Consider the following 15,489-nt stretch of genomic DNA (forward strand, 5'->3'; position numbering starts at 1 on the left):
TAGAATCTGAGTGGCTCATGTGCTTGAGGCTCCTGGAGAGAAATAGAATCAGTGGATAGAACTCAATCTCCCACATGGGTCATGGCGAAGGCAGTGGCTTCAAGCCCAGCCTTTGGTAAAGTCTCTGGTAGTATCACTGCCAGGGCCACAGGACCGCAGAGCCTATAGCATTCTCTCTATGACTAACTATAGAAGGCTCTCAGTCTTGTGGATGAGAAAGAAGCTCCTTCATGAAATGGCTTGTCTCCCTGTTAAAAAGAAGACACAGGCACCGTTGTTTTTGCTTATTTTTTCTCACTCAGTCAGTACCATCCAGTACTTACTTACATTTGTCTAGTCTCTCCTAAACGACTTCTGGAAAAGACTCCAAAATCTTTTTAAGCAGCCCCAACTAGCTACATTCCAGAGCAAAGCATTCTTTATTTATAAATGAAAGGGCTCAGCAGTAGCTTCTAGCCTTATCTCACTCTTCTCTAGACAAGGGGGTTCCATGAAGACATGTTCCACAGGTAGGTTTGAAAAAACATTTCAAGTATCAGGGGCCAAGGTCCTGCTTCCAGTTCCTCTACCACATAAATGTTTAGTCCTACAACCTGTCTGGTCCTGGTTTTCTCATTACAAAGCAAGAGGAATGAATGAAAGAGGGTCTGTAAAATCCCCTTCCCATTCTCTCAGTCTGTATGTAACCTGGTAATATATCTTCTATTCCAGGTTAATAGTGAACCCCAATTCCTTTATGAGGTCCTTATGTTATACATACAATCCCTAATGTTAAAACAGGATTTAAAATACTATTATACAGTCCATCATGTTGGATTCCTATAAATATGGGTTTTTCATACTTGCCAATCAAATTAATTAGCCAAATTCACTTATCAAAGTCCATTTAATACATTATGTGCTGGCATCTTCTAAAATATGTTCACTTATTATGTTTACTAGAAAGAATTTTTAATGAGCAGCTGCCTCAAAATTAATTAATGTATATAGCTTCCACTATAAAGTTACAAGCCAAATCCCACTAATACAATTTCAGTGAATAGCTCAGACTGCAAAATACAGCAAAACTCCAACTGCTAGCCCATTTATTTAGAGAAGCATGTGAATCAACAAATTTACAAGAGCATGAAACAAGCAGTTATGATATTCATGTAGATTTTGAGTACTATATTCCGTGAAATACCACAACATGGAATTCTAGCAAATCAAGGAAACTCTATTGGTACCTCATATCTTCCTGTATACTCTATACAGGAAGTAGAAATACTTTTCTGTTATAGAACTAGACTATAGGAAAATCAAGGTATTTGACTGTACCAGCTAGATTCTGATTTTTTCTATTCTCTAAAAATCTCACACCAAAGAATTATTTTACAGCCCATTAACTGATTTCCTTCAAATCCTGCTACCTTTTATTTATACTCTGTTTATGTGCTAAATTCTAAAGAGTTTCTGAAGGAAACTAAAGTAGGTTAAATAAAACTGAAACACTGCTTTGCCAACATTTTTTAAAAATCAAAGTCAGGTGTAATTAAAAGAAAATGATTATACAGCTTGCTAGCACTTGTTCCATTTTTAAGAACAAATGTTCAGACTTACCTAGGGGATGTTTCCATCTGCTTCTCTCAGTTTGGTTTCCATGCTTTAGCTTTAACTATTATATGTAGGCAAATTACCAATGTCTGACTATCTAACAATAAATAACCCTGGCCTTATTTTTTTTTCAAATAACCCTTACCAAAACTGAAATCATATTTTCTCAAATCATATTTTAACAGCTAGTCTTACATTAGCCAGAAAGGAGACCTCACCATCACAATTTGGAGAAAATAAACACCTCATTATTGATAACACTGTCTAGAGTTGCGCATTCCGGAGTTACGAACTTAGCCACCATGCAGATAGAATACCTACTCTCCTAAAGGCTAAAATCCAAAATTAATGTGAAGGTGTATTTTAAGAAATGGTAAACAATAAAGATAATAAAATAGTAAGATAAAACCATTAAACAGACACCCAGTGGCCAATATATTACAATTGGAGATAAAAATATATGCATTTCTGGCTTAATAAGTTAGTGACTTAGAACAGTACAAGAGTGACATGGAATCACAGAAGTGACAAAACTTGGCCACAACAAAGCCCTGATGAAAAGCAAATTGCTCCAATACAGTGTCCGTACACTTCACCCTTGCATGCCCATCTCTGATGCCCCCCAAAGTAGCTGCATAACTGATTTATTTTTCATCCAGATGGCTGGCGTCCTGTACAGACTTACAATGCTGACTGTCTTGGGGATGCTTATTCAGTGAGTCTTGAAAGCCATTATTCACTAATTTCATGTGGAAATGAAATTTCAGCCTCCCATTGTGTACGTATAACTTGGGTACTTCCACCACATACAAAAAGTGCTTTTTGCCAGGCGGGAGAGGATGACTGGAATGCAAAACCCTTCCTGCATGCCTCCCTGGCCCAGACCCAAGCTGGCATATGGCAGTTCCACCAACCACCTCCATATAGAACACTAGGTGAATGCTTTAAGCAAGTCCTAATAATGTGATTTACAAAGCACTCACTGGATGGCTGTCTTCTGCCTCTATTTTCATTCAGGATAGGAGATTAATCTTATTTCATGAAAAGCATTTTACTACATTCTGTTTCTTGCATTCACCCTCCTCCCTACATCTTTTTTAAAAGAAAAAACAATTTTGCTAAAATTCTGTATATCTAAAAAGAATCATGAGTTTCCAAGTTTTCTTACCTTACTATTTTCTTATTCTAGAACTTAATCCTCAACACAGGATTTACTTTCTGTTTCAAGCCTGTGACTAGCAGGCAAAGAAAACTGGTCTTTAGAGAGCAAGTTAAACGTTTTAGCTAAATTCATGTGCTTTGAATGAAACATTCCCACGCTGTGCTTATAAACAACTATTGATATTTTCTGTAACTTCATTCCAGAAATTGTTTGCTTTTAAATGTCAGAGAGCTCTCTTCCTCGCCCTATTTTGGGTTTTATTTCAGTCGGCAGTGTTGCTCATCAGTAATAAATACAAATTCTTATGTAGAGACACACTCACATCACATGCTGGAGCTGAGGAGCTCAAAGTATTTTACAAACATGATCAAAATCACTAATGACTTCCAGCTCTGGAATCTGACTTCTGGATCTGTCTCAGAAGACTTATTTACATCATCTTTGCAAAATATAATTTGTATTTATAAACACAGGCATTTATCTAGTACTTAGCAATGAATGCAAGTCATAGCCCTGGCACTGACATTCATTTCCAACTGTGGTTCCAACTGAACTTCCCAGAGATGTAAGATATGACTGTCTATGGTAACCTTCCTCCTTTGATTCTGAGGAGTAAACGGCATTTCCTCTCCTCTTCTATTTTCATCTACTCTGCCACATAACTCTTCCTCACCAGTGGCATCTGCAGGGGGACAAGCCCTCCTTCTTTCACATATCCCAGGAACGTGGTTTGTCCACTAGGCCTTCTCCAGGCTTGTCTCTCAGATATATGAATTTCAGAATGAGATGGGTGATATGCATGTAGGGATATTTTGCATATTAAAAGTAAAAATAGCCGGGCACGGTGGCTCACACCTGTAATCCCAGCACTTTGAGAGGCCGAGGTGGTTGGACCTTGAGGTAAGGAGTTCGAGACCAGCCTGGCCAACATGGTAAAACTCCATCTCTACTAAAAATACAAAAATTAGCTGGGCATGGTGGCGGGTGCCTGTAATCCCAGCTACTCAGAAGGCTGAGGCAGGAGAATCATTTGAAACCGGGAGGCAGAGGTTTGCGTTGAGCCGAGATCACACTGTTGCACTCCAGCCTGGGCAACAAGAGCGAAACTCTGTCTCAAAAAAAAAAAAAAAAAAAAAAGCAAAAATGACCAAGGCAAAATAGCTCCATTCTGAATTACACATCCACCTTCTGAAGGTAACCAATGCTGTCAGAATCCAGCTTGGTAAATACTCTGTTTTTCTTTTCTTTTCTTTTCTTTTTTTTTTAACTGAGAGAACATATACAAAATCAACTTTATCTTATCCTGGAATCACATTCTACTATAATGAAAGACAGATAGCCTTGTCTCAAGAAAAGTAAAAGCAAGAAAGTAGCTCTAGCATGGAGGTGATACCCAAATATAAACAGGGCTGGTTTCAGAATTTCTAAGCAGGCTTCCAAGAAACAATCTGATTGGAAGCAGAAGGCAACCTATTGGTCTTGAAGCTACATTTGCAGAACCAGATCACCCTTCTTACTTGGATTGTGGGTTTACTAAGAGTGTTGGAGTGGGTAGCTAACGGAGATTCTACCTTTAACTATATTAATGCAAACTGTGGTATAGCCCTGGAAATAATACTGCTACTGCATGCAATATCATCAGCCAGATCTTTCTTAGAAGACAGCTCCAATCTATCGACTTTAAAAGAAATACAAATGAATGAGAAAATGCTTTTGAAAAACAGCGAAGACACTCAAGGATGCATAAATGTAAACTGACAAACATGTAAACAATAAAGCAAAAGTGAATGTCTATTTCTCCTCCTCTCATATCTTGCAGGGCACTACCGGGAAAGTTTTTTTATAGTAGGCCTACATGATAGAGTACTTTGTACAAAAGATCAGAGCATGATTAGCTCAAGCGTTAGATGACCATAAAACTGGAGTTACACAATATACCCCAATGTACAGTTTATGTCACAAAATAAAAAGAAAGACTTCCTCATAATCATGTTTCTTTCACATTTTAAGTGTTTGGTGTTTTTGACTAACCATATTATGCTATAAAATCAAAAGTAATCACTTTTAGGGTCCTTTGAGAAATCCTTCTTCATACTTATATATATTTTTTAAAAAGGCTAGGAGCAACAAATCCTGGATTCTTCCATAATTTAAGTGCAACCCCCATTTTTTAAATCATGAAATAGAGTTTAAATTGGCAGGAGGGGGAGCTGCCCAACAAAGTTGTACCTAGAGAGAACCTTTCCTGTAAGTCCCTTTTGAACAAATAAGTGGTTCTAATCAAATTGTGGATGTATGATGAGATTCTCAAAACAAAGGAAGTCTACTCCTCTAGGAGACACTAGATTGAATGAAGCATTTCATAGCATTTCATCTATGGAAGAACTAGGCCCTCTCCTGAAAAATACTTGCTTTGGTCCCTACCATAAAGCAGCAAGGTAGTAAAGGAGAAAATGCTGTGACAGTGTTTTCTTTTGATTCAGTCCAGTAGCTATGGAAACTATCTTTTAAATGCCAATTGGTCCTCTTCCCTGCAACTACATAAAATAAAACCATTTCTTACCCTCACGGATGCCATGGCTGGAAGCTCCATTTTTCAACACGTTCAACTAATCTAAGCCCTCTCCCACTTTTGCTCAGTATTTGCAAGCTGAAGCTATCATATTTGATTGATACTATGGATTTAAATTAGAATACACATGAATGTACTTCTAACTAAGGCTGCGAGGAGTAATAATGCCCAAACCACAAGTAAACATTTGTTAAACCTGCTTGATGTGCTCCAAGAAAAACAACGTTTGCTTCTTTCTCTTTCCCTATATCTCTTCTTCTGAGGTAAAAATGCATGTAATTCCCATCACTTGTAACGTGTTTTTCTTTTCAGTGCCTGTGCATATACCATAGGCCACAAGCTGCAATTCAGGGTCAAGAGTTTCCTTCTATTTACAAATATAAAAAATTAAGATTTTTCTTTTGTGGCTCCCTCAATAGGAAAATGGTAGACAAGCTAAAATATAAACTGATACTAGGGTCTGACTGTTTTTCTGCATGGATTTCAATCCTATCCCATTCAAAACAGAATCATCTCCAGAGATCTATTTCTAGATTTATTCATTGTTTAATTTTTTGAGATTTGTCATTTTTATTTCCTTCACTATATTTAAACTTTTCTTTCAGTAAACAAGTTTGATAAAGATGGATATTCTTTGTGTACAGCTTCCTACTTCAATATCACCTTAGTTCATCATCTTTATTGTCAAATTCCCTTGTAATCTATCTCTTTGTAAGATCCTCCCTAAAATTTTGAGATTTGCAAATGCAAAATACAACAAACTGTTATGTTCCAACATGCATTAACTTTTCTCACTGATTTTTTTCAGTGTGACTTTTCTCTTTAACCTCCAATCTGTCTCATACAATTTATTGGTAGTATAGTATTTATATAACCCTATTTTATGCACAGTTAGCATGAATCTTAAAAAATTAAGGGCTACAATACCCAAGACAATTCTAAAGGACAACAGAATTAAAGGACTTAACCACACCTTAAGAAATGCCATAAAGATATAGAATTAAGACAGTGTGTTTGAAGCAAAACATATAAATATATATTTAAAAAAACAGGCCCATGGGAGAAAAGGAGGAGCTAGAAAGAGACTCACAGTTAAGACTGTCACTTGATATACAACAAGAGTGACAAGGAAAGTATGGGAAAAGTCTTCTCACTATATGATTATGGGTCAGTTGGACACCCATATGAAGGAAAGTAACTCTTAATCTTTAATTCATACCACAAACAAAACTCAATTCCTGAGGGACTGCAAATATAAGAGAGAAAATAACAAAGCTTCTGTAAAAAATAAAACAAGAACATAAGAACATATCTTGATGACTTTGGAAGAGGCAAAGGTTTCTTAACACATAGCAAGTACTAAGCATAAAGGACTTTATTAATTTTAATAAATCTATAAAGGGAAAATGTATTTGCAATATCTACACCCAGTTAAAGACTTGAAAATACCAAGTGTCTGTAGGCAAATATGTGGAGAAGACAGAGGTCTCTGCCACTGCTGGTGGGAGTGTAAACTGGTACAAACACTTTGGGGAACTGATAGAACACGTGTATACCCAAGAGCCAACAAAATACTCACCAAAAATATGTACAAACCTGTTCATAGCAGCACATTACACAGAAGACCCAGACCAGGACATACCCAATTGTCCATCAACGATCAACTACATCAATAAATCATGCTATATTCATTTAATGAAATGCTGCCCCGTAACTAGAATGAAGTGTTTACGACTACTTGCAATGATATAGGTAAGTATCACGAATACAATATTGAATGAAAAAACAGCGAGAAAAAAACAAACCATAAGTATTGAATTATTCTATTTGTATTGAATTATTCTATTCATACAGAGGTCTAATATGGGGAAAAACCAATTTATGGTAACAGAAATCAGGATAGTATTTGTGCATGACAAACAAGGCATGGAGTGAATTCTTGGATTCTTTTTCTTGACCTGGGTGCTAATTACATAGGTGTTTTCACTTTGTGAAAAACCAGTATACTAACACTTGATTTGTGTGCTCTTCCGTATGTATGTTACACCTCAATAAATTTTTTTTTAATTAAAGGCGCAATCCCTATTTTCAATGAACATACAATTAAATTTTGAAACCAGAAAACATAGAGGAAAAACAGGAGAATGTTAACAGGAAACAGGCCACAAGTAGTTTCAATCAGCACATATTCAGCAAATTCCTATGCTTGTGGCCAATATTTTAGGAGTGATTGAAACATTTATAAGTATTGAAAAAATTCCCCCTGCTCTCCAGGAGTTTATAACTCAGAGCAAAAAAGGATTTTTTTGATTTGATCAGGAAAAAAAAAAAAAAAAAAATGGAGGTGGGGAGAGTCATAGCAGACACTAAACAATTATAATGCTAGGGCAGTCAACTAGCATATGTTGCAACAGCTGTGCTGTGGGGATTGAGAAAGAATCATGGTTGGGGTCTGAAATTATCAAGAAAGGCCTCATGGAAGAGACGAATGTGACCGTGGAGTGGAAACATGCATAGCATCTGAATTCACAGTGTGAGGACCCAGCAATAGGAATGATTCCAGGGAGGGAGGCTGTAGGGGCAAAATGAATGGTAACTGAGTAGACGGAGCTTTCCTGGTGAGGTAGGTAAAGGGGAGTCACTGAGGAAGAAAACACTGAAAACCAAACTGTATTCTAATGGAAAAAAAAAAAATCACTGTCTATCCTCAAATGGAGCAATGACATGAAAAAAAGCTTGTTAAAAATATGTATCCCTTTAACAATACTGCTTGTCTCTGGAAACTTTTTCAAACTGTAGGTCACAGCAAATTAGCAAGGAGTAAAATCGCTATAATGTATGGTAACCCATTTTCCCTAAAAGTGAAATAGAAAAAAAGCAGAAAACACCACAGTGCCCTACACAGATCCTTAGCAAGAATGTACGTATTCCAGCTGATGCTGCCGCCAATTGCTGGAATCAGTGGGTAAGACATGGTGTGGGCAACGTAAGGAATACATACAATGGCTGCCTCATCCAGCTTCATTTTGTGAAATAGCATTGTTTCTTGAAATTTTTGTTTTTGTGATTTACATGTGTGTGTGTATATATTTGCATTTATATGCATACCGCGTTGAAAATAAAATGTGTTTCTCACTGCGGCTTCCAATCAAGAAAGTCTGAACAATATTCTTCCAGAAGTGGAGTTCTGCAGAATTCATTTGAACAAGGAGTCTATGCCCAAATAACATTAAATGAGGAGATGCAGAATAAATGAATGAGCAAACAGGTAGTGTTAAAAGTCTACATTAAGACATGTAGACCCTCCCCAGGTTGTGCTTCAGCCTTAGGATTATTTACTCCTCCTTGGATTCCCTGTATCCCAGAAGTTACTCAATCCAGCATCCTTTTCAATAACATGAAATGAGGCTGGAATTTAACCATTTCCTAAATCCAATTCTTCCTGCCTGCCTGATCTATCTAGCACGTTGTGAGGCCTTGCAAATAGAATCATTTATATCACATGCACTATTTAAAGTAATGTTAGTTTGTATTTTTAAACACTGTTCCATTTATAAACACCTAATACACACAGCCCTGCTTAAAAAGAATCAAATAACTGGCAATTTGGGGCAGAACTGTGAGATGTCTTCACTTTAAATTATCTTGATATTTGTCATGTTTCTTCCTGATTTTCAACACACAAATCTAGCTTCAGGGTGGCTAATGGCTGTTTTATGATAGTCTCATTAATGACGTTGTTATAAAAACTGTGAGAAGCATTAAAAATAAATTTTTACATAAAGTGATTTTATTCTATGTTAATTTCCTACCCCTTTAAAATTTTGCAGCATTCAATTAAAATCACATAAGAATTTCCAAACCCCTTCAAATTTTACAGCATTAAATTAAAATCCCATAAGTAGCCTCCATCCATGTTTCCACCCCCACCACTTTAAATTAAAAGGGAAACTCACTAGAAACCCAAGGTCTTACGCTATTAAAAGCATTCCAATCAGCCACACAAAGTATTTATTGTGGGACAACATCCATGAATAGTTAAAGACCCACTTAAAAATATGAATATGTTTTCTTTATAGAAGCTTATCCTAGGAGCAGAGAAGGCCTTCATTCATTCTGAAACCTGGCAACCCGGAAGTAGGCAGCATGAAATCTCTCAAGTGTACACTCACTTCCTGTTTTGCATAGGTTAGCCTTTCTCCATGCTCCATAGTTCTGCAATTTCTCCCTTCCACATCCTATTTTCTATTGCGGCTACTTCAAGTCATGTGTGTCTCATGTTACTTGTTCCAGAGTTACCCTAAAGTATTTTCATATGTGACTATACTAGGAAAAGGGAATTGGAAATTGTAAAGTCCTATGAGGGGATTAGCAGTCTCCCTGCCAATGAGGTCATGTGTTGACTAGTCACATTACTGATGAAGTGTTCAAAGCAACTAAGAAATTTATCCCAAAAAGCTGCATTGATATTCTGGAGAAACTGTTTGTTATTACTTAGGAAGGAAGTTGGCTGCATGCTAAAAGGGAAAACTAGAACTTGTCCATGTGCAGTTGCTTTCATATCAGCTGGTCACACAACTTTCGTTGATTTCATTACAGCCCCTGGGAGAAGGTGGTGGAATCATAAAGCTACCTTGACTAAGTGTGGTGAGTGATCTGCACTGCCTCTGTTTGGGACTATTTATTCCTAAATCTACACCCCACGCCACAGAAGTTGGGCGTCTTCCACTTCCCGCCCTATGCTATTCAGAAAGGGTTTCTTTTCTTCTACCTTATCCTCAAACAAAACCACCCAGAGTTCCATCACAAGGCCACCTGCTATTTTTAGATGGAGATCCTGGGCATGTGCCCTGGGCTCGTCTCCCATGCCCTTCCTCTGCAGTGTGCACTAAACAGGGCAGGGAATATAACATGTGAGAGGATTTCAGAGGAGGGCCTCTGGTCCACTGGGAAAAAGGCAGCATTGGTGCCAGGACCCTGGTTTCTAGTCCAAATTCTGAGGTCAACTGGCCATGTGTCCTTGCTCAACCCATTTGAACTTTCCTAGGTCTTAGTTTCCTAGTTTATAAAATATAGGGACAAGACTGGACAATGTTGAGCTGCACTGCAGCTTTTAAATTCTCTTCAGTGTAGAGTTGGATAATTCATGGTTTTACAGGGACATCCTTGACTCAGACTGATCCAGCCCAGAGCACATGTCTAACCCTTGACTGCTCCGGTTCGTTCCCCAACCAGATCAACAGACCCAACCCTGGTCCTTGGAAAAGTCCATTTCTTCCTTCCTTCCTGAGTTCCAATTTATCACATCTTATCCTGAGAAAAATCATCTGCTCCTCACTACTCAGTTTTAAATTGGCAGTATCCCTGAACATTTCTTGGTATCTTACTTTTAAATTTGTTTTTCTTGCTCAGCGTCTGCCAGAGAGATGCCTCTAAATTCATTTAACCTGGACCGTGTCTTCCCCTTTAGCCATTCCCTTCCCCCATCCCACTACCTGAATCACCCCTACTTATGCCACTGCCCCTGCCCCTCCCACCCAATAGGTCTGCATTCTCATCCAGAACTTTGAATGAGTTACCTTACACGGTAAAAGGAACTTTGCAGGTGTAACTAAGTTAAAGATCTTGAGATGGGGAAGTTATCCTGGATTTTTTTGGCAGGGCTCAATGCAATTAACAAAGGTCCTTGTGAAAGGAACTCGAAAGAGTCAAAGCTTCAGAAAGAGATGTGAGGATGGATGTAGGGGTCAAAGTGATACCTCTGCCAGAGGCCAGAAACCAAGGAATGTGAACAACCACTAGAAAGTGGGGAAGGTTAAATTCTCCCTGAGAACCTCCAAAATGAATGGAACCCTGCCAACAGCTTGATTTTAGCACTTTTGACCCCCAGAACTATGAGATAATACATTTCTTTTGTCTCAAGCCAGTAAGTTTGTGGCAAATTATTATAGCAGCAACAGGAAACCAATACACTTTATCTCTGATTGTTCTAGGTACAACCACCTTCAGGCTGACTTGACGTTAGTCACCCTTCCTCCTTCAAAGTAACTGTTGATTGAGGACCTCCTATGTGCCAGCTCTGTGATGGGTTCTGAACAAAAGACAACACAGATTCAAGCTCTATGTCTACGAAGCTGACAATCTGACAATAAATTCTGACTTGAAACCAATAACTACAAATATAATGAGATCTACAAAGGAAGCACATACGCCCAAGGGAACACAAGGTGGGGCGGTTTGGGAAGGGCCCTAACCTAGTCTTTGGAGGAAGGAGGTTGAAGCTAAGTCCTGAAAGATGAGGTGGCAGTATCCTGGAGAAAGGACTCAAGGCAGCCAGCAATGTGCTTCTGAAGCAACGTAAAGAAGGCAGGTGAAGAAAGAAGACAGAAAAGGCAGAACATGTAAAGCCACCACCAAGGGTTTTATTATTATTATTATTATTATTATTATTATTATTATTTTACTGCAACCTAAGAAGAGAGGTTTTAAACAGAGGAATGACAGGAAATCTGAAAACATCAGGATCCTGAGACATCAGGGAAGGAATGCCAGAGCACAAGGAGAAACAATGGGTCCAAGCCTTTGAGGTTTTGTTTCAATGAACAGATATTCCCCAGGAAGGAATACCTATTAATCCACAGCTATGTGATCAACCTTTATCAGGACCTTGACGTGAGGGTGAGGCAGCCAGGGAACAGCCCAGGTCTAGGCGAGCGGGGCAGGCAGAGCGGATGATCTGCTTCACCACCGTACATTTCCTATGGGTTGGAGCCCTGGACAGCTCAGCCCTCTGCCTCACCCTGGACACCCACCACCAGCTTAGGGCATGTAAGACAGCATGCAGGTGTGGTTCCTCTGCCTCATCCTGGGTACCCACCACCAGCTTAGGGCACGTAAGACAGCATGCAGGTGTGGTTCCTGACACCATGTGGAGGGCCAGCCGAGGGCAGGGCCACCTGCTTCTGAGGCAGGCTCTGCTCTCCTGAGGTTCTCACTGCCTGCTATTTTCTCAGTGGAAACAGGTTCTAAATTGAAAACAGGTTCTCTCGCAATTTTTAAAAAGCATTTAAAGAAAATACAGCCAGGGGCAATGGCTCATGCCTGTAACCCGGACACTTTGGGGAGCCAAGGAGGGAGGATCACTTGAGGCCAGGAGCTTGAGACCAGCCTGGACAACACAGGGAGCCTACATCTCTACAAAAAATTAGTTGTGCATGATGGCACAAACCTGTAGTCTCAGCTACTTGGGAGGCTGAGGTAGCAAGATGGCTTGAGCCCAGGAGGTTGAGGCTGCAGTGAGCCTTGATCATGTCACAGCACTCCAGCCTGGGTGACAGGGTGAGACCCTGTCTCAAACAAACAAACAAACAAACAAACAAAAACAAGAAAAGAAAATATGCTTTCTTCTTAAAAGAGAAAGAAAATATATGCCCCTCCATATCTCAAAGTTTGGCATCCATGGATTCATCCAACCACACACTGAAAACATTCTTTAAAAATAAAAAAAAAAACCCAGCATAACAGTAATAAGAAAACACAAAGAAAAAATACAGTGTAACAACTGTTTACACAGCATTTACATTGTTTTAGGTATTATAAGTAATCCAGAGATAACTTAAAGTGTACAGGAGGATGTGTGTAGGTTATATGCAAATCCTATGTGGTTTGGTATCGGGGACTTGAGCATCCATGGATTTTGGTACTGGTGAAAGGTCCTGGAACCAATCCCCTGAGCACAGTGAGGGATGCCTGTATCTGCTGCTAGCCACATACAGTGGAGTGGAAAAGAAAACAGACAAATTTTTTTTTTACCCAGACCCTAAAACTGCCATTGAGCTCCCCCAAAGATAGGCCAAGCCTTGCATGAATTTGCCGGACTTTATTTGGCCACATGGTTTTGACTTCATTGGGCACAGGAGTGTTAAGGAGGATGACAACACTAAACACAGCATTTAGCACATAGCAGATGCCAAAGTATAAAAAAAGCATATAAAATCATTCATTATTGACTCTACAAGGCACTCTATCAAACTGTAACCTAAAGCAGAGATTTGCTATGCAATAATAGTTCTTATTTAATAGATGTGAAGATGAGAAAAGCCCTCATTCACTACTATGAAATATATGCATCTAACAAAATTACACTTGCATCCCAGTAATTCATACAAATAAAAAGAAAAAGAAAATATAAGTGAAATCAGTGTATAGACTGTAAAGAAACATGAACTCAACATTTATCTTAAAAAGCATATTCCTTTTAACAGCAATGAAGACCAGACACAATCCAAATGCATATTTCTGCCCCAAGAGTAATCAACTGCATTTTGTTTATTGGAGTGGTTCTTTGAAATTGAGGCCAGAGGCCCTGAAACTATGAGGAAGTCTCTCCTAATGTTTGGCCACAGTCATAACCCACTAAAATTTTAATTTTTATTTTAATTTCTTTAGGAAAAATAATATTTCACAGACCTTTAGTCCAAGAATTGGAACTGCATAAGGTAAGGGAAAGATAGGCTCAGTGAGTTAAAAGTGTCCTTCCTATACTGGAAGCATCATTATTCAGAGGATGATGACATTTTCATCCCCACATCTCCTGATTAAACAAACAAGAGAACAGAAGCTTGGTTTTCAGATGGGAGAGGTGCTTATTATCAATGAGGAGAGAGTTCCTGGTAGTAAGGATTACTTAGAAGAGCTATAAAATCACTTTGCCCAGAGGCCCTTAAATGGAAAGAAATCCATCTGCTCATGTTCGTTTGGATGTAACCATTCCTAGAAGCAGTTGCAGAAAAGAGATGACTTGAACTTCCATTTTCACTACGGGGCTCTCTTTCTAGTCACAGCCAAGTAGAAAACACAAAAGCACAAGCTCCCAACAACATCACAACTCATAGACATCCTACCATTGGCTGGAGCTGGGTCCCCTCAGCAGCACAGGGACTGTCAGATCAGACCACGAGAGGTCTTTGCGTACAGTAATGCTGCCGTGAAGCAGTCCCTTTTAAACTCCAATGGCATGTTTCTTCTGCCCTGTCACTGATTTAGACAAAAGAAGGTGCCCTAAGATTTTTCTATGCCCCTGGGGGTCTGAGCCCCCATGAGACCAGAGGTTTTTTAGGCCAAAGTCAGGCTGCCCATGGGCACCACCAAAGACAAATGGAGAAAGCTTTCCTCAATGCCAGCCAAAAATAGGGTCTACAAGGGTTCTAAAGTTATAGTGCATGATGCCCATAAATTTAAATTCATGACTTACTTGCAACTGGCAGAATTCGTTCCAATGTCCAGAATAATATGCTGAAGCAGCCATTTACAAAAGCAAGCCACAACCCTTTACCATTGTCCTTCAGCAGGCAGCCAGCCTCAGGGGGTCTGCAGATAGCAACTTGTGGCACGTGAGGTGAAGACTCTGTCAGTCCCATTCATTCACTTCGCCAGCCTTCTTAGAGAATAATGAATCCTGTGTTTCAGGGTAAAGATGCCAACCTCACCAAGACTGCCTCTTGCTAAAGTGAATAACCATAACAGAGTTCCTGCTGGGCAATCAGGCAAGCAATCCCCAACTTTTCCACTCAACGATGCAAAGTACACCAAGAATGCCCAATGCATTTCAAAATGTAACCCAGGTTCAGCTCTGTGGCTCAGAAAGCAGATTCCTTAAGAAATTCTGGGAGAGAGGGAAAGAGAATTAATGTGTCTAGAAGACTCACTCTGTGCCAGGCATTCTGCCGGACCTTTACATAACTTACTTCATCAAACACTGATGATAAGCTTACAAAGAGCTTAAGGCAAGTATTGTTCTTCCTTATTTCATGGAAGAGGCAGTATATCCCACAAATTAAGTAAATGAAGGCTATAGAAGACAGAAGTTAATCACTGGGTTTCACAAAGGCAGAAAGTGGCAGAGCTAGATAAGATTTATGCCCTCTCTACCACCCAAGGCTTCCTTTCAATGCCCCCATGCCTTGGACTCCCTCACCCCCCGTTTCATCATATTTATCCCTTGAATGGAACCAGGATGGGGAAGCAATATTCCAGTTGTAGAAACTCTGGGGTAGAGCTTGAGTTCTGCCTTTTTCAAGCTAGGTGACATTTTAAAGATCATTTAAACTCCTAGTCTCAGTTTCCTTATATGTAAAATGAAGATGCAGGCCAAGGCCAAATG

General features: G+C 39.2%; 1 protein-coding gene across 19 annotated transcripts in view; it reads right to left on the bottom strand.

Annotated features, from left to right (window-relative positions):
- The window catches only part of NCKAP5 (NCK associated protein 5), a 1,003,049-nt gene that overhangs the window by 566,462 nt on the left and 421,098 nt on the right, over nucleotides 1–15,489 (bottom strand). Inside the window, exon 1 of one of the 19 annotated variants that reach the window (XM_011511105.2) lies at nucleotides 2,762–3,621. The exons of the other annotated variants lie outside the window; for them this stretch is intronic. The gene's annotated coding sequence lies outside the window, so the exon portion shown is untranslated. Of the gene's footprint in view, nucleotides 1–2,761; nucleotides 3,622–15,489 lie in introns of those variants that run through there. 19 annotated transcript variants of the gene reach the window in all.

This window comes from Homo sapiens, chromosome 2 (genome assembly GCF_000001405.40).
Source record: "Homo sapiens chromosome 2, GRCh38.p14 Primary Assembly".
NCBI classification, from domain to species: domain Eukaryota; kingdom Metazoa; phylum Chordata; class Mammalia; order Primates; family Hominidae; genus Homo; species Homo sapiens.